General features: G+C 37.2%; 1 protein-coding gene across 82 annotated transcripts in view, besides 2 other annotated features; it reads left to right on the plus strand.

Annotated features, from left to right (window-relative positions):
- TENT2 (terminal nucleotidyltransferase 2) overlaps positions 1 to 25518 on the plus strand; it is a 75806-nt gene that overhangs the window by 9542 nt on the left and 40746 nt on the right. For 26 of the 82 annotated variants that reach the window (NM_001388126.1, NM_001388115.1, NM_001388123.1 and 23 more), the window contains 5 exons: positions 1270 to 1507; positions 18869 to 18983; positions 19123 to 19214; positions 20862 to 20928; positions 23141 to 23210. The exons of 1 other annotated variant lie outside the window; for it this stretch is intronic. In NM_001388126.1, coding sequence (NP_001375055.1) covers positions 1270 to 1507; positions 18869 to 18983; positions 19123 to 19214; positions 20862 to 20928; positions 23141 to 23210 — 582 coding nt within the window. Of the gene's footprint in view, positions 1 to 1269; positions 1508 to 18868; positions 19014 to 19122; positions 19215 to 19472; positions 19536 to 20849; positions 21004 to 23140; positions 23211 to 25518 lie in introns of all 82 variants that reach the window. 55 more of the 82 variants (XM_047416850.1, NM_001388103.1, XM_047416857.1 and 52 more) reach the window with 10 other exon arrangements.
- Positions 7498 to 7999: an enhancer, noted in NCBI's record as "H3K4me1 hESC enhancer chr5:78925303-78925804 (GRCh37/hg19 assembly coordinates)". NCBI's record gives its function as "activates a minimal SCP1, AML or CMV promoter by ChIP-STARR-seq in primed H9 embryonic stem cells {active_cell/tissue: H9 hESC(primed)}" and the evidence as "EXISTENCE:reporter gene assay evidence [ECO:0000049][PMID:30033119]".
- Positions 8000 to 8499: an enhancer, noted in NCBI's record as "H3K4me1 hESC enhancer chr5:78925805-78926304 (GRCh37/hg19 assembly coordinates)". NCBI's record gives its function as "activates a minimal SCP1, AML or CMV promoter by ChIP-STARR-seq in primed H9 embryonic stem cells {active_cell/tissue: H9 hESC(primed)}" and the evidence as "EXISTENCE:reporter gene assay evidence [ECO:0000049][PMID:30033119]".

A 25518-nucleotide genomic window follows, 5' to 3' on the forward strand; every position in this document is an offset into this window, starting at 1 on the left:
ACATAATCCCAAAGGAGTGTTAAAAAACCTTCTATGGGCCGGGTGCAGTGTCTCATGCCTGTAATCCCAGCACTTTGGGAGGCTGAGGTGGGCAGGTCATTTGAGGTCAGGAGTTCGAGACCAGCCTGGCCAACATGGTGAAACCCCATCTCGACTAAAAACACAAAAATTAGCTGAGCATCGTGGCGGGCGCCTGTAGTCCCAGCTACTCAGGCGGCTGAGGCAGGAGAATACCTGGAAATCCCGGAGGCAGAGGTTGCGGTGAGCTGAGACTGTGCCACTGCACTCTAGCCCGGCAACAGAGGAAGACTCTGTCTCAAAAAAAAAACCTTCTATGACCCATAGAATTTTCAGGCTTAAAAGGAATCGGGCCATTTTCTGTGGCATAAAGTATTACCTACATGAACAACTTAATATATCAATGAAGTAAATGTCTTTTTTCCCAACAAATACTTACTCTTTAATGATTTTTCCCTTTTTATTTTGCAAATACTAAAACCTCCAGAAAAAGAATAATATGGTGAATATCTGTATGCCTTTTGCCTAGATTCATGAGTTAAAAGTTTTACATTTGATTTCTTTCTCTTTTTCTTTCTGCCCACCTGCTTTTTTTCCTGAACCATATGAAAGAAAGTTGTTGACACCATTTTACCTTAAAACATGTCAGCTTATTCCTCCTACAAAACAAGGCTTTTCTTCTATATAACCAAAATACATTGATTATTCCTGAGAAATTTAATATTAATAAAATACTATTATCTGAGTTGCAGCTCATTTTTGAATTTCTTCGTTGTCCAATGTCTTTATAGCTTTATTGAAAAGTGTTTCTTAATTGGTCTTTCCTGCTGATGAGTCAGAACATAGGTGTATTCAAAGAGCCCTTTTTTATAACTAGCACTCAGCTCACTTAATCGTATCTTCCTTATGTTATAGTTTGGATCTTCTTAGTAATTCTATAAATAGAACTTTTCCTACAAAGTTTTCACTACTGAGATGAAACATTGGGGTAGTTCAAATACAGGAGACTAACCTCAATATATACATGTAGTTTTTTCTGTCTCCATTATTACTATTTTTTTTAAGGTGTTGAGAGGCATTTCTTGTGCTGAACATGAATATTTTTAAGATCCATATAAAGCTAATAAAGTGACCTTATTGAAAGAATCATATTGTCATTATCTCTTATGATATTTATATATATTTAATTGCTTTTTATTTGTTATCAGAAAGTTGTATCTTTAATTACTAAGGTATATTGCTTGTTTTCAGGAGATTAAGCGATGAAAAAAACCTTCCTCTTGACGGTAAACGGCAACGTTTCCATTCACCCCACCAAGAGCCAACTGTAGTTAACCAGATAGTGCCTTTATCAGGTGAACGAAGATACTCAATGCCACCATTGTTTCATACACATTATGTACCAGATATAGTCAGATGTGTTCCACCTTTTCGAGAAATTGCATTTTTAGAACCTAGAGAAATCACACTGCCTGAGGCCAAAGATAAGGTAATAATAATGTAGATTTTAGTTTTGCCTTTTGGGAATTTAGTATAAATAATGTATTAATCAAAAATATTTAATATCCTGGATTAAGTAGAACGTGCCTTTTTTTGTTGCAATGTTTAAAGTACTATTCAGCCTAATTTTCTGTCCAAACATTACTTTGATTTTTGTTAGCTATTCTTTTATAGAAATGCAGCCATCAGGAAATCAGATTTTCCCTGATATATGAAAATTTTATTAGAACCCAGACACTTTCTGAGTTTAGAGAACTGTCTTGTTACTTGTTTTTACTGAAAAAAAAAAAAGTTGTCATATAGCTATTGTAATACAGTGTTAGAACACATTTTATTATGGGATATTTGTGTTATAACATGAGGTTTTTTGAATGTCAAAAATAGAGAATCCAGGAGTCACTGAGAAAAACAATACATTCAAAGTGATATAATCAAGAAAGATTTATCAAAAACATTTATAAAAATTTTCAAATAAGTGAAATGAAGCTATTTAAATAATAATTCTTGGAAAATGACATTGTCAGCATTGGGGAACAATGAGTTATTTAATATCTAATAATAGAAACATATCTCTCCTCTCCCCCATATTTAGTGAAACCTAAAAAATCACCTTCTAGGTAATTGAGAGGGGTTTATAATGTAAATATCTGTATTCTCTTGGGTTGTCTGTGGTTTATACTTGCTGTTTTTGCATTTTCAAAGCTGCCACACTCTTGAGAAATAAGACATTTGTAGGCTAAGGAGAAGGACCTTGAAGAAAATATAGCAACTTTGTTTTACTCATCTTTGGGTTCCTATCAACCAGCATGGGTCTGAAACATAGTAAGTGTACAGAAATGTTGGGTCAGAAAAGCAACATCTGCTTCATTCCTTAGTTGTGCTGCTTTTTTATTCCTCTATTATTCTTTTGTTCTTTAATTTTTTAATTTAGTTATAATTGTACCATAAAATTCACCCTTTTAAAGTGTAGAGTTCAGTGGTTTTTAAATATATTCCCAAAGTTGTGCAACTGTACTATCTGATTCCCAAACATTTTCATCACCCCCAAAAGAAACCTTGTACCCAATAACAGTCACTTCTCCTGCTCCCTGGCAACAACTAATCTATTTTCTGTCTTTATCCCATCCTGGACATTTTATATAAATGAAATCATTCAATATGTGGCCTTCTGTGTCTTGCTTTTTTCATTTAGCATGTTTTCAAGGTTCATCCACGTTGTAGCATACACATCAGTACTTCATTCCTTTTTATAGCTGAATAATACTCTATTGTATGAATATACATCACTTTGTTAATGCAGTCCTCAGCTGATGAATTTCTGGGTTGTTTCCACTTTTTGTCTGTTATGAATAGTGCAGCTATAAATATCTGTGTACAGATTTTTGCATGGACATATGTTTTCACCTCTCTTGGAGTGAAATTGCTTGGTCATATGGTAGCTCTGTGTTTAACTTTGTGAGGAACTGCTGAAGTGTTTTCTAAAGTGGTTGCACCATTTTGCATCCTATCAACAGCGTATAGGTTGCACTTTCTTTACATGCTTTTGAACTTGCAAAACTTGTTATTGTCTGCCTTTTTGATTATAGCCATTCTAGTGGGTATGAAATGGTATCTCATCATGTTTTGGATTTGCATTTCCCTAATGCCTAATGATATTGAGCATCTTTTCATTTGCTTATTGGACATTTGTATATCTTCTTGGGGAAATGTCTATTCATCTAGATCTCTTGCCCATTTTTAAATTGGACTGTTTGTCTTTTTACTGTTGGTTGGTAAGAGTTCTTTATGCATTCTACATATTAGACCCTTATCAGATAATGACTTGTGAATTTATGCTCCCATTATGTGGCTTGTCTTTTTACTTTCTTTTTGGTATCCTTTGAAGCACAAAAACCTTTCATTTTGATGCAGTCCAGTTTATCTATTTTCCTTTGGTTGGTTGTGCTTTTGGTGTCATATCTAAGAAACCATTGTTAAAGGTCACAGAGATTAATGCCTATGTGCTAATTTTTAAAATTTATTTATTTTATTATTATTTTTTCCCTGCCCCGCCTATGTGTTATTCTGAGTTTTATAGTTTTAATTCTTATATTTAGGACTTTGATCCATTTTGAGTCAATTTTTGTATATGATGTAAAGTAGGGGGTCCAGCTTTATTCTTTTGCTGTTGGTCCAGTTGTCCTAGCAGCTTATTGAAAAAACTGTTCTTTTCTCCTCTGTAATTTTTTTTTAACCATATTGAAATAGGAAAAACAATCAGGCAAAATCAGTGGGAGAAAGGAAAAAGGCAAAGGAAACTGAGAAAAGATTAACTTGGGTTTTTTTAGTTAGCTGTTTTTTTTTTTTTGATATAGAGTCTAGCTCTGCCGCCCAGGCTGGAGTGCAGTGGTGCGATCTCGGCTCACTGAACCTCCACCTCCCGGGTTCAAGCGATTCTCCTGCTTCCGCCTCCTGAGTAGCTGGGATTACAGGTGTGTGCCACCACGTCTGGCTAATTTTTGTATTTTTAATAGAGACGGGGTTTCACCATGTTGGTCAGGCTGGTCTTGAACTCCTGACCTCGTGATCTACCCACTTTGGCTTTTCAAAGTGCTGGGATTACAGGTGTGAGCCACTGCACCTGGCCTAGTTTTTGTATTTTAAAAAACTTTAGAGATGAGGCTCTTGCTGTCATGCCCAGGCTGGAATGCATTGGTGGGATCATAGCTCATTGCAGCCTTAAACTCATAGGTTCAAGTGATTCTGCTGTCTCAGCCTCCTGAGTAGCTGGGACTATCGATAGGTGTGGGCCACCATGCCCAGCTAATTTTTTTTTTTTTTTTTTTGAGACGGAGTCTCACTCTGTCGCCCAGGCTGGAGTGCAGTGGTACGAACTCGGCTCACTGCAAGCTCTGCCTCCTGTGTTCGCGCTATTCTCCTGCCTCAGCCTCCCGAGTAGCTGGGACTACAGGCGCCTGCCACCAAACCCAGCTAATTTTTTGTATTTTTATTAGAGACGGGGTTTCACTGTGTTAGCCAGGATGGTTTTGATCTCCTGACCTCGTGATCCACCCTCCTTGGCCTCCCAAAGTGCTGGAATTACAGGCGTGAACCCCCGCACCCGGCCACCTGGCTAATGTTTTTAATTTTTTTTTTTTTTTTGGTAGAGCCAGGGTCTTGCTATGTTACCCAGGCTGGTCTTGAACTCCTGGCCTCAAGTGATACTCCCTCATTGGCCTCCCAGAGGGCTGGGATTACAGGTATGAGCCACTGCACCTAGCTATTTTTACTCATTTTAAAGACTATCGTGGATATGAAAGCCTATGTATAAATTAAATCAGACCTTTGAATGAACGTATAAGAACCTTTTTGCTGGGTGTGGTGGCTCACGCCTGTAATCCCAGCACTTTGGGAGGCCAAGGTAGGCGGATCACAAGGTCAGGAGTTCGAGACCAGCCTGGCCAATATGGTGAAACCCCGTCTCTACTAAAAATACAAAAATTAGCTGGGCGTGGTGGCAGGCGCCTATAGTCCCAGCTACTTGAGAGGCTGGGGCAGGAGAATCACTTGAACCCGGGAGGCGGAGGTTACAGTGAGCCGAGATCATGCCACTGCCGTCCAGCCTGGGCGACAGAGTGAGACTCCGTCTCAAAAAAAAAAAAAAATCTTTTACTGTTTTTTTAAGGTATGTATGCTGGTAGCCCTGTTTTCTATGGAATTTATAATGATAAACTATTGAAAGCTCTCTATTTTTACTTGTATTTGTATGTTGTGATAGTTAACTGTTAGAACTAACTAACTGCTAGTTCTGCATATGGAGTAGGCAAATTTTCAATTTCAGTAAATTTAATAACAATTCATATTAGTGTCAGCATAAACCATCTGGTAAAGTACAGTTCTGTATCGATAACATTTTAAAATTAGTTATGTAGAAAGAGATACTCCTAAATATTTAGAATTAGGGATTTATCTCAGAAGGCTAAAGATTGTGTAATTGAACCAATTTCTTTTTTTTCGTTTTTTGAGACAGAGTTTTGCTCTTGTTGCCCAGGCTCAAGTGTAATGGCACAATCATGGCTCACTGCGACCTCCATCTCCCGGGTTCAAGCAGTTCTCCTGCCTCAGCCTCCCAAGTAGCTGGGATTACAGGCATGTGCCACCATGCCCTGCCAATTTTGTATTTTTAGTAGAGATGGGGTTTTACCATGTTGGTCAGGCTGGTCTCAAACTCCTGACCTTAGGTGAACCACCCGCCTCAGCTTCCCATCATGCTGGGTTTATAGGTGTGATCCACCACGCCTGGCTGGAACCAATTTCTTTGAGTGCCACTCTCTACCTGCCAAGTTGTGGGAGAAAGAAGGCAAGCAGTCAGTTTTGCGTTTATTTTTTAAGTGAACATTTTTTAAGAAAGCTAACGTTTATTGATGGTTCTTGTAGGCATTCTACATATGCTATCTCATTTAGTCTTTTCAGCAACCCCATGACATGGATATTATCCTAATGTTATTGAGGCTCAGAAAGCTAAATAACTTGCTCAGGGTTACAGCTAGTAAGTGGTAAAACCAAGATTTGATCTTTGTCTCTAAAAATATGAAGAGAAGGAGGTTAAGATACTTAAAATCAAGGGTAGGCAGATGACATTGTAACTCTAATACAAGGTAATCTGTGACAGTGGTAGCTAATGTTTATTGAGTATCTGTCATTACTGGCATTGTGCTCGACAGTTTGTTTGGTTTACCTCTGTTTACTTCTGTAGAGTATAAAGTGAGTGAAGGGTTCAGTGTGAGATAAAGTGGGGCAGTGGTTTGAAGCCTTGAATGCACAGTAGAATGCTGTTGAAGGTTTTAAAGTAGAGAAATAGCACAGTCAGATTTGTATTTTTAGAAAGTCCTTGCTGTTTAGTGAGTTTGGTTTAGAATGAAGTGGGCTTGGAAGGTGGTGATCATCTTGAAGGCTGTTAAATTCACCCTGAAGATGGTTGATCCCCTTGAAGGCTATCCTAATGAGAGGTGCTGAAGCTTTCAGTTACAGTAGATGGTAGTGAAAAAGATGTGGGAGATAATGTATAAGGAAAATTTAGAGAATGTGTGGAATAACTGAGTGTAGAAGAGAGAGGGTGAAAGAGACATGAATGACTTCAGTGATTTGATACTGGGTTACCAGTAGAGATAAAGAACCTAGATTTGGGGTGTATAGGCTGATTGAGGAAGTACTCGAGTTTTTTGAACTATGAGAGAATCTACTATAAAACATTTGTGCTCCTCAGAAACTTCATGTTCTGCAAATTGCACACTAATCATATAGGGCTTATGAGAAATAGGGTTGGAACAGACTACTCAAAACCTAAACAATTTTGTAACGAGAACACTATCAAAAATAATAATTGATATCTTGGGAAATAACTTGGATAGGCAGGCAGTTTGGCACGGCTAGATGCTGCTGCAGGGGATATTAGAAATACACAAAATAGAGTTGAGATGCTGGCTTGTGTTGGACATTGACACAGGCAGTTAAAAATGGAGCTCTGAGTCAGTGAGGCTGCTGTTAAGGTAGAGACAAAAGGAAATACACCAGCACAGGGCTATCTGAGGCTAGGAGTATGCTTTCTTGAGCAGAAATCTTGGATGCAAATGCTTTTAGTTCCTTTAGATCTGAAAGGACTCCATACTGAGGGGTTTTTTCTTTGTTGTGACAGTTATAATTCTACAGTTATAGCTCCATGTACAAATCACGTACAAACCCAACTTCTATGTTATATTGATACCATTCCTCTGTTTACCAATCACATATAAGTTAATTGGTATTGTAGAAAAATGTAACTGTATTGACAGTATATGTTTGGAGTTCAGAAGTGAGGTCAGGCTAGAGATACGGATTCTTAAGAGATCTGAAACAAAAGTGACAGTTGAAACACCCTAGAGTAGATAAGATTTTTAATTTATTTAGCATTCAAATATTTGTGAGCTCTAGGCGTGGGAGATACACTGTTTTGCTAAACATACATGGTCTCTACCATTTAGGTACAGCATGGTGAGAGGGGGAGCCATTAAAAAATAACCATACATAGGCCAGGCACAGTGGCTCACGCCTGTAATCCCAGCACTTTGGGAGGCCGAGGCGGGTGGATCACGAGGTCAGGAGATCGAGACCATCCTGGCTAACATCGTGAAACCCCGTCTTTACTAAAAATACAAAAAATTAGCCAGGCGTGGTGGCGGGTGCCTGTAGTCCCAGCTACTTGGGAGGCTGAGGCAGGAGAATGGCGTGAACCCAGGAGGCAGAGCTTGCAGTGAGCCGAGATCGTGCCACTGCACTCCAGCCTGGGCAACAGAGTGAGACTCTGTCTCAAAAAAAAAATAATAACCATACATAGGCCGGGCACAGTGGCTCACGCCTGTAATCCCAGCGCTTTGGGAGGCCGAGGCGGGTGGATTACCTGAAGTCAGGAGTTCGAGACCAGCCTGACCAATATGGTGAAACCCCGTCTCTACTAAAAATACAAAAAAATTAGCTGGGCGTGGTGGCGTGTGCCGTAGTCCCAGCAACTCGGGAGGCTGAGGCGGGAGAATTGCTTGAACTTGGGAGGCAGAGGTTGCAGTGAGCCAACATCGCGTCACTGTACTCCAGCCTGGGTGACAGAGCAGGACTCCGTCTCAAAAATACAAAAATTAAAAAAATGCAGATCACAATTTTATTTATATAAATGCTGTGCAGGAAATTAGTGAGTGCTGAGAGAATGCATTTGAGGTCTCAGGGAAAGCCTCTTAGAGGAGGCAGTATTTGAGTTGAGATCTGAAAGATGAATGAGTTAACTAGTTAAAGAGTGGTGGGAGCCAGGCGCAGTGGCTCATGCCTGTAATCGCAACACTTTGGGAGGCCAAGGTGGGTGGATCGCCTGAGGTCAGGAGTTCAAGACCAACATGGCAAAACTCCATCTCTTTTAAACATACAAAATTAGCTTCGTGGCAGGTGCCTGTAATCCCAGCTACTTGGGAGCCTGAGGCAGAGAATTGCTTGAACCCAGGAGGTGGAGGTTGCAGTGAGCCAAGACCACGCCACTGCACTCTAGCCTGGGCGACAGAGTGAGACTCTGTCTCAAAAAGTAGTGGGGATGGGGAGACTGCTTTAGAGAGAGGAAATAGCATGTTTGAGGGTGTTGATGCAGAAAGGAGAATGGAGTGTACAAATAACTGAAAGGAGGTCAAGATGGCTAGTGTTTGGTGAATTGAGGGGAAGTGGTTGAAGGTGTGGTAGGGGAGATGGGAAGAGGGGCATATTTTGCAAGGACTATTAGGCCATTTTGATCTTTAGCCTAATAACAGCAGTAACCTATTCAGGTTTTTTTTTTTTTTTTAATGCAGGGGACAGATGAGTTAAAAAGTTTATTTTCACTGCACTATGGAGAGTAGATTGAAGTTGAGCAAGCATGGATGTAGGGAAGTTGTACTGTAGTATTTCAAGTGAGAGGCAATGGTACTTGAATTAGGAAATGCTAGTAGTTAAGATGAAGAGAAATTGATGGATTTAAGCTGTATTTTAGAGGTGGAATCCATAACATTTGATGATATATTAGATTACAGTGTCTAAGCCTCTACAATATCGACATTTTAGGCCAGCTTACTTTGGTGTGGAGGGGCTGTCCTGTGTACCCTACTACATTTAGTAGCATTCCTGCCACCAATCCCCAGTTGTGACAGCCCAAAATGCCTATGGACATTGCCAGTCATCCTCTGGGGCAAAATTGCCCTAGTTGAAAACCATTGGGTTCGATTGAGAAGAAGGTTTTGAGGATTACACTCAAGTTTCTGGCTTCTACAGCTGGTGGCCTCATTTGCTGAGACAGAATAGAATGGAAGAGGAGGAAGATTTATATGTGTGCTTAATAGGGATTGACTCATGAGTCTGTGGACATGTGCCTTTAAGAAGCTTTTGAAGCATCAGAGTGGATATTTAGCATTGATAGTTGAATATACTGTGTATAGATCTGGAATTCAGAGGTTATTCATTGGCTAGAAATGTGTATTTGGCCATCATCAGCATACAGATGGTAATTGAAGCCCCAGGAAGAGAGTCTATGTCCAAGACTCGTTGAAATCGGTTGAGGAAAGAATAGGAGAACAAATGCAAACTAAGATTATACACAACTGTTTTGGGACATTTGGCAGTGAAAGGGAGGAGCAAAAGGTGTGAAGTTAGGACAGGCTTTTTTTGGTAAGGTGGGAGAAACTCTGGTCACAAATAAATGTTTGTGGGGAAGATTCATAGAGAGGAAAGAGGTTGACCACTCTGGAAAGAAAAGAACAATCATGAATAAGGTTTCCCACAAGGTGGAAGGGGAATGAGTCCTGTGTATAGGTGGAGTGATTGGCCTTAGGTAAGAGAAAAACTTTTTTGAACTGGCTGATAGGAGGAGAGGATAGGTATAGATACAGGGAAATTTGTAGATACGGTAGGGAGAAGTTAGTGGAGTTTCCAGAGTTGAATGGCATCTTCCCGTTTTCTCTCTCAATTACTATGCAAGATAATCTGTTGAGACTGGAGAAGATAAAGTAGGATATCAGAGGTTTGAGAATAGTGGAGAATGTTTGAAATACCATTTACTGAATGTAGGGAATCAAACTGACCAGAGAAACAGAGTGCAGAAGGTTTGAAACATTTTCTGGGTAGTATAGAGGGCTCACTTAAGATTGGTAATAATGAATTCATTAATAATAATAGTGAGTCAGTCAGCTGAATCTGCCAGCTCCAGGGAAAGATTTTGTTAGAAGTTTTTTTAACTACTTTGAGGATAAACATAAAGAATTGAATTTTGAAAATGAATACCCTCTGAGTTTAAATTTTTTCATGAGTTTTTTTTGTCTTTTTTAAGTTACTGTGTTAACAACTCTTTAAAGTAGAAATCTGAGTTATTCCTGAATTTTAACTTTTGTTTTTACTCTAGGTTTTAGAAGAATATATGGTTTTCTGCACAAAAATGAGAATGTAATCAGTTATCTAAGCCCCTGAATTCCATCTACAGTATTAAATTGTTCTTTGAAATTTCTGGTTAGTAGAAGGTATTATGTGAATTGACTTATTTGATTTTGAATTTTGAGTTGAAATGAGGTTAGGCTGAGGTTTTTCTTGGTATTGATTGTAAAATAAAAAGACAATTATTAAAGAATTGTTAAATTCCCTGTGTAATGTTAAATTTGAGAAGGGGCAAATTTTATGGAGCTTCTTGGCATCCTTGGAAGAACAGTTTGGGGATAGTTATCTTACAGATCTCTAAAGGACTCTGTCTTTTTAATTTATGTGTTTGTCAGAAAAATTCAAAAACCACTGAGATATAAATTTACATAGAACACCTAAGAGAGAACTCAGACAAAAGAGATCAAATAAAAACTTGTTTTTTTCCTATCTTTCTTTTTTGGGCAATTCTTTGGCCAAGTTCAGGTAATAGTAGGCGCCTAAAGTAATCAGACTTCAGGGGGAAAACAATCAGTAATCCAAACTGCCTTCTCAACCCACCAGTTTATAAATTAAGAATACTCCAACTTTGTCCTTACACAAAAACATAGTAATTTAACACACAAGAAGTGGGTTGTTTTAGGCATGACATTTTTCTAGTTCTATTTTGTTTCAGAATTGTTTAATTTGATGGGAAAGGGAATTGACTGTGAAGAATGAATTTAAACTTTTATTACACATCTGGCTTTATTTTCCTCAGAAAATTAATACCAGCTCTTTCTATAGCTACACGTAACAAAGATTAAGGCAATGAGAGAGCCTGAGAAATTGCCAGTTTTTATTGCAATGTTTATATGCTATAATGACCTGTTTTCTGGACCATAGTTTAATTTTATTTCTCCCATTTTGAAAGCTCATTGCTGATTGTGTTTGTAGATAGCACTTAGGCAAAAAAAATTTACATTGTAGTATATGATTAGGTCTCGGTATTTCCAGCTAAAAAGTTTTTTTTTTTTTTTTTTTTTTTTTGAGACAGAGTTTCGCTCTTGTTGCCCAGGCTGGAGTGCAATGGCTTGATCTCAGCTCACTGCAATCTCCGTCTCCTGGGTTCAAACGGTTCTGGGATTACAGGCATGCGCCACCATGCCCGGCTAATTTTGTGTTTTTAGTAGAGACGGGGTTTCTCCATGTTGGTCAGGCTGGTCTCGAACTGCCAACCTCAGGTGATCCACCCACCTTAGTCTCCCAAAGTGCTGGAATTACAGGCATGAGCCACTGTGCCAGGCTAAAAAGTTTTTTTTTTTTTTTTTTCCACTTTCTTTTACTCAAGGGCCCAGCTATCAGGGACAGGTGGTGAACTGCTGAGTATACCATGTGAAGGTTATACAGTGTTAAATACCATGTGAGAGCTTTATATATTGGTACATATAAAAACTTTTCTGGGGCTGGGTGCAGTGGCTCACGCCTGTAATCCCAGCACTTTGGGAGGCCGAGGCGGGCAGATCACGAGGTCAGGAGATCGAGACCATCCTGGCTAACATGGTGAAACCCCGTCTCTACTAAAAATACAAAAAAAAAAAAAAAAAAAAAATTAGCTGGACCTGGTGGCGGACGCCTATAGTCCCAGCTACTCGGGAGAATGGCATGAACCTGGAAGGCGGAGCTTGCAGTGAGCCGAATCGTGCCACTGCACTCCAGCCTGGGCAACAGAGTGAGACTCCGTCTCAAAAAAAAAAAAAAAAAAACTTTCTGAATCCCAGCCAGCACTTCACGTGTCCTTATGGCTTGTGTTGACTTCAGACAATGGCAATTTTATTGGTATTTAATTTGACCTTGACTTTGAGGACAAGTTACAATATTTTTTAGGAAAAATGAACATTCACATTTGGAAGAAATATTTATTTTTATTTATTTATTTTATTTTTTGAGATGGAGTCTTGCTCTGTTGCCCAGGCTAGAGTGCAGTGGTGTGGTCTTGACTCACTGCAACCTCTGCCTCCCAGGTTCAAGTGATTCTCCGGCCTCAGCCTCTCAAGTAGCTTGGACTACAGGCACCTGTCACCATGACTGGCTGATTTTTTTGTATTTTTAGTAGAGATGGGGTTTCATCATCTTGGTCAGGCTGGTCTCGAACTCCTGACCTCAAGTGATCTGCCCGCCTTGGCCTCCCAGAGTGCTGGGATTTCAGATGTGAGCCACTGCGCCTGGCCAGAAATATTTATTTTAATATTTTAGGCTACGTATAAGTAAATTTTTTGTGTAGTGAGAAATAGACTAATTAATTTTATAGTGATAGATCTTGGTAGATAGCCTAAGCAGTTAATTTTATAATGATAGATCTTGGTAGGTAGCCTAAGCAGATAATATTGTAGTGATTTAGACAAGTTTAAGAATAATCCACTTTATATATATGTTGTTGGAGGGATTTTTTTTTTTTTGAGATGGGGTCTTACTAAGTTACCCAGGCTATTCTTGAACTCCTGGGCTCAAGCTATGTTGCTGCCTCAGCCTCCTCAGTAGCTGATACTACCGGCATTTGCCACTGTACCTGGCTTGGAATAGTTTTTTTAAACTAAAAATTAGGAAAAATTTACCCCAGAATTAAAGAATATTTTTGGAGTGCCATTATGCATGGTCAGCTTGTTATTACATATATGATCTAAATCGTATATGATTTTTAGCCAAGGATATTTCATATTATACATTCCTCCTCTCTATTTTTTTAAGAACTATAACAACAGTGAGCCATCTCCTGGAATATTTCTCTAAATTAAAGCACCAGAAATGTTGTTTCAACATATATGTGCATTTCTCTTTTTGTCTCATCTGAACTCTCAATGTTTGTTCTAGGGTAAAGTAATATGATTTGATAATGTGAATCCCCAAGTTAATGGGTAGATAATGACGAAAATTCTTTCACATAAAAACTCATTAAATCTCCATTATAGTAGTCCTTGGGAAAGAAAAAGTGTTTCCATGCATGTAAAAAATGGAGAGGAACAAGAATATGGAATTTCATATTTTCCAGTCATTGTAAATTTTTTAACATGTGACTGTTTCTACATTAACAAGGTCATTCAGATGAAAGAACTTTATAAATATAATAACATTTCACTTGGGCATTGTGAAGGAATTTTTTTTTTGGAGACAGAGTCTTGCTCTGTTGCCCAGGCTGGAGTGCAGTTGCGCGATCTCGGCTCATTGCAACCTCTGCCTCCAGGGTTCAAGCGATTCTCCTGCCTCAGCCTCCGGAGTAGCTGAGACTACAGGTGCATGCCACCACACCTGGCTAATTTTTTGTATTTTAGTAGAGACAGGGTTTAACCGTTGTTGCTCAGGCTGGTCTTGAACTCCTGAGCTCCGGCAGTCCGCCCACCTTGGCCTCCCAAAGTGCTAGGATTACAGGCGTGAGCTACCTTGCCCAGCCAAGAAATTTATTTTGCTATTCAACAAATACTGAGTACCTACGGTGAATTCTAGGATTATGTTGATCTGATCTGCCTGATTCTCTACATCAGGGGTTGGCAGAAGGGCCAGATAGTAAATATTTAGGCACGTGGGCTATGTAGGTCCTCTGTTGCATATTCTTTTTTCTTTTCTTTTTAACAATGACTAAAAGTAGAAATTATTTAGCTTGCTGCCTATACTTGGCCTAAATAGTTCGCCAACCCTGCTCTAGGTCAGTAAAACTTAATCCTTCAAGTATCATGTAAAATTTTATGTTAGCCACTTTTACTGGAGATCTTTTTCACATTTGTTACAAACTTGGACACTTTTCTTTTTAGCTTTTTATTATGGAAAATATCAAACCATATACTAGAGAGAAAAACGTATCATAAATCCTTATGTTGCCCACTTTAACAATTGCCAACATATGACCATAACAATTAACAACATATGACTAATCTTATTTCACCTTTACCTCCCTCCCTCATTAGTTTGAATCAGATTGCAGTTATTTTATTTGTAAATATTTCAGTATTCTGATATTCAGTTGATCTTTTTTGTTTATCCTTCTGCCAGGGCCATACTATCTTGATTACTGTAGTGTTATATTAAGTATAGAAGTCAGGTAGGTTAAATTCCCCAATTTTTTTCTCAGCTATTCTTGGACTTTTGCCTAAGTCAAATTTAAAATTCTTCTGTCAGTTTCTAGAAAGAAGCCTTCTGGGCTTTTGATTTCTTTTTCATTTCTTGTGAAACAAATATCAGATGGGCTTTTGATTTTGATTGCATTGAATCTAAAGGTCAATTCTGGGAGAATTGACATCCTTGACAATAGTCTTTTGATCCATGAATGTGGTGTATCTCTCCCTTTATTTAGGTCTTTAGGTTCTCTCAATATTTTCTAGTTTTCAGTATACAAATCCTGCACATCTCTTGGTACATAGATTTCTAAATATTTCATGCTTTTTGCTGCTATTGTGAAGTTCTTAAAAAGTAAATTTTTAATTGTTTGTTGATAGTATGTATGCTTTAAGTAGTGAATTATCTTTTTAGAAAATTAAAACATGAGAGAAAAGGCCTTGGTTTTTTATATTATGTTAAAAATATTAGTTTTGTTTACACATTCTTCTGGTGTGCTTTATTGTCTGTAGAAATGTTACCCTGCAGCCTGGGCAAAATAGTGAGAAACTATCTCTCAAGAAAAAAAAATTAACCAGATGTGGTGCTGCACACCTTTAGTCCCAGCTACTTGCAGGGCTGAGATGGGAGGATTGCTTGACAGGAGGTCAAGACAGCAGTGAGCTGTGATTGCGACATTGCACTCTAGTCTGGGAACACAGTGAGACCATGTATCAAAAAAAAAAAATTGTTGCTCAGTTTATTCTCATTTTTCTTACAAATACTTTGTATGGGAATTGATTAGAATACTTTCAGGCGTTATTTCTTCAATTTTTTTTCTGTCCTTTCCCATGCTTACCTCTTTCGAGATTCCATTTCTTTCCTCCTGTTATTTGTCTTTGAGATGGCTTTTTCTGTACTACTTTCATTTTATTTTATTTCAGTGTTTTTGAGACAAGGTCTCCCTCTGTTGCCCAGGCTGGAGTACAGTGGTGTGATCATGGCTCACTGCAACCTCGACCTCCCAGGCTCAAGCGATCCTCCTGCTTCAGCCTCCCTAGTAGCTGAGACGACAGGCACGCATCACCATGTCCAGCTAATTTTTAAATTTTTTGTAGAAGGGAGGTTTTGCCATGTTACCAAGGCTTGTCTCGGATTCCTGGGCTTAAGCAATGCACCTGCCTTGGCCTCCCAAAGTGCTGGGATTATTGGTGTGCTCAGCTACCATGCCCAGCCGTGTGCTACTTTTATGTGGAGAGGGTTGAGCAGGCTAGCTTTGTGGCTCTAGGACTTCTCCTCTTTTGCTTTTTTTTTTTTTTTTTGTGACGGAGTCGCATTTTGTCACCCAGGCTAGAGTGCAGTGGCATGATCTCAGCTCACTGCAACCTCTGCCTTCCGGGTTCAGGTGATTCTCTTGCCTCAGCCTCCCAAATAGCTGGGACTACAGGCACGTGCCACTGTTCCCGGCTAATTTTTTTGTATTTTTATTAGAGATGGGATTTCACCATGTTGTCCAGGATGGTCTTGATCTCTTGACCTCGTGATCTGCCTGCATTGGCCTCCCAAAGTGCTGGGATTACAGGCATGAGCCACCACGCCCAGCCTTCTTCTGTTCTTACATAGTATTCAGAAATATACTTCCTTAGTGCCTTTGCTTTTTTCCTTTCCCACTTTTATCTAGAGTAGAATTTTTTACCCTCTGTACTATTGGCATTTTGGGCCAGATAATCTTTGCTGTGGTAGAGTTGTCCTCTGCATTGTAGGATGTTCGGTGACATCCTGGCGTCTACCTACTAGATGCCAGGGACCTTTCACCTGCCCTGCCTGGTCCTGTTATAATAAAAAATGTTTTCATATTCATATGTCCACTGAGAGTCAGAATCATTTTACACCTTTCCTTTTCTCCTGATGGCTCTGTACTGTGCAGTTTAGGTTTCTCTTCCTGGCAGTTTCTGCTGTTGCTTTTTCTTGGAAGGGAACCTCATTTTGTTTGGAGGTCTCTGATCTTTCTGTGGTCCCCTTGCATTTACCTATGAATTGTAGCCTATGAAGCTGCTTGCCTATTTTGGTTGTGGTACATTGATGTGGGCTGCTGAATTTGGTGAGTGAGGGGGAGAAGGTATTACCTATAAGCAATTTGATTTCTGCATGTTCTGCTTTTAAGACTGTTTCAAATCCCATTCCCTTTTTTATTGTGTCTGATACCATGTGAATCTTGCTGCTGTTGGTATTTGTCCCACTCCTGAGTATTCATGATGAATACCCGGTCAGTCAATTGTGTTTTATTTTGTGGCCACATTTTGGTTTGGTTTGATCTCTTTGATTTATTCTCCTAGTTGCTCTGTCTTTTGTGGGGTGAGTATTCAGAGATTTAAAAAAATGTTATGCTTCTTTCATTGCCAAATTGCCCAGAATGCCTCTGCCTTCTTAAAATGAGGATTCTAAATATGTGAAAGACAACATTTTACGTGATGGGTGATACTTTTGCCTCATTATGGACTATAAGGCAGTCCTAGAGAGGGAGAGATTAAAAATACAGGAGCAGGACTGAAATACTGGTAGACGTGTTTGTGCCCTTAAGGTGACCAGAAGGCTTGAATACAAAATTATTGGTAGAGAGATTAGCTTTGAACAGGGGAAAAGGACGCCTTTTTTTTTTTCCCCAGATATGTTCATTTTTAGGTCTGTGGTTAAGAGGCTGAGGAATATCACATTTGGTATTCTCAATTTTCTTAGTAAACTTTAATTTAACTGTATTTGCTAGAGAAAGGGAGATAAGTTTAGAGGGCTTGAAAAAGGTAGTAAACATTTTGGAATGGTATGAAAAACAGAAGTGATATCTAACCAAAGACTTGGAAGTAATTGCTAAGTGATGCTAAGGGCCAACCTAAGACTATAAACTTGAAATACTCCAATTTTATGATTTTTAATTTTTTTTTCAGTTTTGTTTCTTAGCAACTTAGATGTAAGAGCAGTGAAGGTGGTTTTTTTTTTTTATATTGACCTAAGATTAGGGTTTTGTAGGACAAGTATTAGAACATGACAAGGAGATAATGTTGTTGAGGCACGATAAGAGAGTGGTTCAAGGGATGCACTGTGTAGTATAGACTGCATAGGGAAAGAAATAACACCATTTTTATGCTGATGGCTTGGGAGAAAATGGAGGATTCAAGGGAATCTAGATCTCTTGTGGTTCTAGAGCAGGTATGAGGAGAGTGAGAAAGTGTGAACTGGATAGAAGATTGAAGCCAAGATATTATATTGGAATTTAAAATTTCAGAGCTAGAGCAGTTCCAGTTTATTGTAAAGACCACATTATAGGAGTGTATACTGATGAAGAATACTGGAGGAAATAAAAGTCCGGAAAGGGAGTATGTTGTGATATGTAGCCCATTTCAGATAGGGAAATCACCTATGTTGATGGCAAGAGTTGGGCTGGAGGGAAAAGTGTGAACCAGATCAGTAGATAAAAGGGTGGTAGGGCCGGGTGTGATGGCTCACACCTGTAATCCCAGCACTTTGGGAGGCTGAGGCAGGCAGATCACTTGAGGTCAGGGGTTCGAGAGCAGCCTGGGCAGCATGGCAAAACCCTGTCTCTACAAAGATTGAAAAATTAGCTGGGTGTGGTGGCACATGCCTGTATTCTCAGCTACTTGGGACGCTGAGGCAGGAGAACCGCTTGAACCCAGGAGGCTGAGGTTGCAGTGAGCCGAGATCGCACCACTGCATTCCAGCCTAGGTGACAGAGTAAGACTCCGTCTCAAAAAAAAAAAAAAAAGGTGGTAAGTCGATGGCAACATGAAGTTAGGGTTTAGGGCATTGTTAGAAGAATGGGATGGAGGGTGGTTTGCATGAGCCTGGAAGACCGGGGACTGGTGACATCTCTTATATTTGGTATTTGTGGGTGTGAATACTAGGGATTGGGCAAACTTCTTTAAAAAGCCAGATAGTAAATACTTCAGGCTTTGCCACTCACATATTGTTTGTTGCATATTTTTATTTGTTTGTTTTCATAATCCTTTAAAAATATAAAAAAATTCTTTTCTCAGGGGCCATACTAATAAAGTGAGCAAGTGTTAAACAGTTTGCTGACCCATGGATTATTTTTATTACGAAGTATCTGTGACTGTACTTTTCTGTGACTTGTATATTTTACTTTGTAAAATTTATGTGTGGTTTTTCAGACCATTCTCTTCCTGTACTTGAGTAATAGTAGCTTTGTTTTGGGAAATATTAAGAAGATAATACATACTCCCTTTTAAAATAGTGTCAGTATAATTGATTTATGCTTCTCCATATAGCAATTACTTTTACATTGCTGAACAAAACTTTTACTTTTTTTTGCGGTGGATTCAAGTTGAGTCAGCAGATACTGGAGTTATTTGAAACATGTCAGCAGCAAATAAGTGATTTAAAGAAGAAAGAACTCTGTCGAACACAGCTGCAGAGAGAAATTCAGCTGTTATTTCCACGTATGTTTCCCTATTTTGCATGTCCTTTAGGTATATGCATTCCTATTTTAAATTTTATCTTTTTTTTTTTTAATAGGCACAGAACCATGCACCTACTTTAGATTTTAAATACTCTTATTACTTTCTTCTGTTTCTTTAGAAAGCAGACTTTTTTTGGTTGGGTCCTCTTTAAATGGATTTGGTACCCGGAGCAGTGATGGTGATTTATGCCTAGTTGTTAAGGAAGAACCAGTAAGTAAGGAAACATTTATTCCAAGTGTGTTTCTCATGTTAATGAGTTAAGAAATTTTACATAAAAGTCATTGAGGGAAAAAACTTGCTTTGTTGTGATTACTTCTTTGAATTTTGTTTACCATAATTGCAGGAAACCTAGGTAATTTTTTATTTTTAAGGCATGTGCACAATAAGCATAATAGGAAGTATAGCATTAATTTAATTCTAAGTTTTTAAAGTGAGATGGCTTCACTATGTGTTTTTTTTTTTTTCAAGAGCTCTACCTCTGTTTTGAAATGTCATTAGTTTGGATATGTTACCAGGATGCAGCAAAGAAGAGTATGTGGCAATATTATCTTCTTGATGTATTTCCTTTCCATTTGAATTCTCACTGATTCTATTTTTAATCTTTACTTTTTTTCTCTTTGAAAATGCTTATTAAGGGAAAATAGATTTCACTAAAATTTAAAATAAGACTCGTGTTTATTAAATTTAAAATATTTTTCTCTATGAATGACATTTTGCCTTTGTTTTTTTTTCTTTTTCTTTAGCAACAATATTGTGTTAATTTAGTACAGGTTGAGTATTCATTATCTAAAATGCTTGGGACTAGAGTTTTTTGGATTGTAGATTTTTTTTTTTGAATACTTGCATTATACTTAACATTTGAACATCCCTGATGCAAATCTGAAATGCTCCAATGAACATTTCCTTTGAGTATCATGTCAGCACTCAGAAAGTTTCAGATTTTGGATTTCAGGTTTTTGGATTAGGGATGCTCAACCTGTAGTATGTTTACCTGAATTTCCTGTTAACTGATACTCCTGTGTATAATACTGTAGTAATTGGTATTCATTAAGCTGACTTGAGGCAGCCTTTTTAAGATGCTGAGGTTTCTTCTGAACTACCAATGATTAATTAAGCTCAGTGTAATTTTAATATGCCTTATTATGTTTTACATCTTTAAAAATACAAAAAATTATTGAGTGTTAATGTATATTTTTACTATTCATATTATTCCACTAGCGAAAATGACTTCTAGTTACTGCAAGTCAGAAAGAGATTTATTCCAGGAAGAATGATATTTTTCTAGGCTTTGAAATCATATAAAGAGAAAGTTTAAAAAAACTCACATTATAAACAGTGGAGAGTACAAGGGTTGTAATTAAAACTTTTTCGTGCTGCTAGATTATACTCAAGCACATCCCACTCATCCTCTAGTGTTATTCACATATCTAAATCATGATGTCATAGCTTTTACACAAACTGAGGCACCATAGATATGAAACTATCCTTGAGCAGCTTAAAATCTAAATAGGGCTAAAATTCTGTTTATTTTTGTTGGAGGTTGCTTTTTGTACATTTATGCTGAAGGGGAAAATGACATAGATGGCTATTTCAGAATTTCTTTGAAAATTGTGCTTTAAGCTTAAAATCAGGAATTGATTTAGAAATGTAGATGTGAAAGATAGCATTAAAGGTTGACTTTTTCTGTTATTTAGAAAAATAAATTGAATATACTTTGAGTATATTGAAAAATAACTCCAAAGGAAAGTATATCTTGTATGTTTTCTTTTTGTTGAGATACTTTAGGAAAATGAAACATTAAACTTAGAAAGATAATGAAAAAACACTTTATTTTTAACTTTTCAGTGTTTTTTTCAGGTAAATCAGAAGACTGAAGCACGGCATATACTCACCTTAGTCCATAAACACTTCTGTACTAGACTTTGTAAGTCTGACATGCCTCAAGTTTGTATGTCACCTGACGTAACTTTACTTAAAATGCCTCTTACATTATCTTCTGGTAAGAACTGTTTATTCTGGTCAGGATCAGTATAATATGAATTCTTTTTTCCAAATGAATTTCTTTTAACTTTTGATGAAAAAGAAGAGTGATCATTTATTCAACATATCTTTATTGCACTTACTGCAAAATATACCACCTGCTGCAGTGGGGGGGATTCAAAGATATGTAAGTTTTAGTTCTTTTTCTCAAAAGTTTATAGGTTGTTAGGGAAATTAAAGCATGAATATAAATAGTTGTAATACAGAGTATCTGTGAAAAGCTAAAAGCCCTATAGGACTTTATATGTGTGAGAGAGAATTTCATCTGGCTTGCAATGATATGCATCTTTACTTGTTTTAAAAATATCATCACTGAACATGAGACCTAAATGTATTACTTCAACAGAAAGCTAATTGTTGACTTAAGCCATTTTATTTTACGATTTTACTTTTTGAATACACTGACTCTAAACATATTTTAATCCACATGTTAAGCCATCTCAAATAATTTCTTTTAAACTTCCATAGAATTTTATAGAAAGTTGAAGTTACACTGTGTGATATTGGAAAGACACTTGTCCATTTGTTGAACAGACATTCATTATGTGCCAGGCTTTGAGCTGGAAAGTACAAGTCAAGTAACAAGTCACTGTCTTTGAATAACTTACATCTGTTCTAGGAGAGAAATAAATGATTTATTTCAGTGGACCTTCTGCATTCTGAATTATTCTGTAAAATAAAGAATAATTCATACCTACTTGAATTTTTAATAGCTATTTGAATCAAAATATTAAAAATGGAAGGGCCCTTAAAGATCATGTAATTCACATGAATTTTTTTTTCTTTTTCTTTTGGTTATTTTTAATAGTTAAGGAAACTGGTGATCAATGGATTTAGTAACTTGCCTGGAGTATAGTTTGTTGGTCTCAGAACCTGTACTTATTACTCAAAACTTTTAACTCCTAATTTTATTTTTCTGAATTCCTGCTCATAAGTTCTATTTTGAAGCTTGATATATTCTTTTTTTTTTTTTTGAGACAGAGTCTCGCTCTATCACGAGGCTGGAGTGCAGTAGCATGATCACAGGTCACTGCAACCTCCACCTCCCTGGTTTAAGCGATTCTCATGCCTCAGCCTCCTGATTAACTGGGATTACAGGTGTGTGCCACCTCACCTGGCTAATTTTTGTATTTTTAGTAGAGACAGGGTTTCGCCATGTTGGCCAGGCTGGTCTTGAACTCCTGGCCTCAAGTGATACATCCACCTTGGCCTCCCAAAGTGCTAGGATTACAGGTGTGAACCACCAAGCCCAGCTGATATATATTCTGTAATTTTGATGGTAAAACATTGTAACAGAAAATTTTCAGGTTTTAAAAAATCCCGGTACTACTTTTTCTGTAGTTAAAAAATGAGAAAATTGCTCATTTGGGAAAGATTTTCAGAATTTCATTTTTACACACTTCTGTATTTTCCTAATTTTCTATGATAAGTATATATTACTTTCAACTCTAATTTTTTAGTTTGATGGAATAAAAATATGTATGTACATTTTATTATATGTTGTATATGATATATGTATGTATGTAATACATATCTGTATGTGTATTTGAATTTCCTATCAACTCATACTCCTTTGTATAATAGCACAATAATTGGTGTTCACTAAGCTGATCTGAATTTTTCACTTGTAGAGATCATGTATATAATATATGTATTTTTCACTCATAGAGATCACACTTATCGAATGCATCCAAGCCCCGTGTATCATGTTGCAAAGCATTTCCACACATAAGACTCTGTAATTATGATTTCTACAGTTACCATGATACCTTACTGTGTGCTGTACCAAAATTAGCTATTCCCTCTGCTGCTAGCCTAGATATATTTTCACTCTTACAGTGGTCTAATGAACTTCTCTATAGATACTATATTAGATCACATTCCTGAAAATAACCTTAATATAAAGCCCCCTAAATGGTATTACTGGAGCCTCCAACCTTAGAAGAATTTGATAATGTCCTCACTTGTATTCTTTTTCAAAGACGTTTTCTTAAATTATTTTAGCTTAGTAAATACTATTTTTTAAAAAATGTGCGTTGGAACACTGTGAATTCTAGAAACATTTGCAGCTATTCACATTATCTTTTGTCTTTCAGCGGGCTACATTGAGAGACCTCAGCTGATTCGAGCAAAAGTGCCAATTGTGAAGTTCAGGGATAAAGTCAGGTAAATAATTAATGAGCTTTCTTTTTTTAGTTCCTTTAGATCATTTTTAGATACTCATCTGATAAAGATAATTAAGAAGTGTATGTTGTAGCATTACAGTTTATTTTAATCAGTTTTTAGAAATCATTTGACTTGGTGTTTGAAATGGTTTTTTAAAATTGAGCAATACTTTATGCTTAACTGTACTTAGCTATTCTGCTTGACATTTTGAATATGTGAGACTATCTAATTTAAAGAGTACATATTTGTATTTTAGATTTTTAAATGATCTCTTGCCTTTTGGAAGTGTAATGCATTCTGAAGAATATAATTAATGAAATTTGACATGTACTAATATCAAGGGGTTTGTTTTAAATACAGTTATGATTAAACAAGTTGTGTTTCATTTTTATGAAAGATACATATAATACCTAGAGTAATAGATATGAAAGGAAAACAGCAAAATATACTTGTTCCATTTCAAAATTTACATTTATATATTCTACCAGCTTGGGTTCTGAATGTCTTATGGGCATTGGAATTGTTTTGTAAATAGATGTTGATTATTTCATTAGTTAAACTGATTTGTTACTGTTTTCTAAAAATAGAATTGTGACAGATTTCATAAAATTTGTCCAGTTTTACAAAATTAATACTGAAATTGTGCCCACAAACACACACACACACACATTGTTGATCCTTATCATTCATAGTTTGTGTTTTCACGAATTTGCCTACTTGCTAAAAGTTATTTGTAACTGCCTACATGAATATTCATACGCTTTTGTGGTCATTTCGTGGACATACACAGAGTAATGAAAATTTCAGATCACCCAATACCATGTTTCCAGCTGAGATAGAATTAGGTGACACACTGTCTTCTTGTTCAGCTTCATACTGTAAACAAATAACCTTCTCACAGTCTAATTAATGCCATATTTTTCACATTTTTGTGCTTTTTTGCTATTTAGAATGGCCCCCAAGCATAGTGTGGAGTTACTTTCTAGTGTCCCCAAGTGCAAGAAGGCTGTGATGGTGCCCTATGGAGAAAATATGTGTTAGGTAGGCTTCGCTCAGGCATGAGTTATAGTACTCTTGGCCATGAGTCCACTGTTAATGAATCAACCGTATATATTAAATACAATGTCTTCAAATAGAAGCACAACATAAAACTTGGTTATGTATTGATGAGTTTATGAAAATGTGACCAGGCTGGCAGATACCTAACCCTGTGCTTACCCTAGGAGCAATGGTATAGTATTCACTAATTCAGTGTTTGCAGCAACTTTATAGAACGTAGCTACTATGAATGATGACTGAATATATATATTTTAAACAAACTTTAATGCCTGGCTCAAGCCATTCCTTTATATATCTAAACATCAATCAGATCTATAAATACTTATTAAATTTCTGCCAAGTAAATTGTGTCAGATTTTCCTAAAGCAGATATAAAATATATAGGGAGATAAAACATAAAGTTATAATATTAGCTAATTATAAGTTTTTAATAATATATGGTTGTAGTTATAGTTACAAAGGTAGTTTTATTCTTTTTCTATTTAAGATCATCCTGCAAACTTTTTTTGTTCCTAAGCTTTTTTTTTTTTTTTAAGAGACAGGGTTTTACCATGTTGCCCAGGCTGGAGTGCAGTGGCATGATCATAGCTCACTGTAACCTCAAATGCCTGGACTCAAGTGATCCTCCCATCTCAGCCTACTGAGTAGGTAGGACAACAGGCACACACCAACACACTTGGTTAATTTTTGTATTTTTGGTAGAGACAGGGTCTCGCCATGTTGCCCAGCCTAGTCTCGAACCCCTGGCCTCAAGCAATCCTTCTACCTTAGCCTCCCAAAGTTCTGGAATTACAGGAGTGTGCCGCTGCACCTGGCCAAATCCTGCTTCCCAACAGAACCATATCTCATGAATATTTGGTTATATCATTAAATAGTGTTCTACAGCATCATTTTTAATGGCTTTATAGTATTTCATTGAGTGAATAAATTGTCATTAACTTAACCATTCTCCTGTATTTGAACATTTGGTGTGTTTCTGGTTTTTAGATAATATAAATAAGTATTTTGTGCATAAATGCTTTCCATATTGAGGATCACTTTTTTAGTATTTCTAGAAGTAGTGTTTGAAGCAGGAACTGTGGATATTTTTAAAGCCCTGAATTCAATTTTGGAAAAATTTTTAACTGCAGACTAGTTGCCATCTATGTGTTTTTCTTTTCTATTGAGTTACTATGTGGATGTAGTACAAATTGGCTTCAGTGTTAGAATTACACAAACACAAAGAATAACTCTATTATTACTGTAAGTT

Source organism: Homo sapiens, chromosome 5, assembly GCF_000001405.40.
Source record: "Homo sapiens chromosome 5, GRCh38.p14 Primary Assembly".
NCBI lineage: Eukaryota > Metazoa > Chordata > Mammalia > Primates > Hominidae > Homo > Homo sapiens.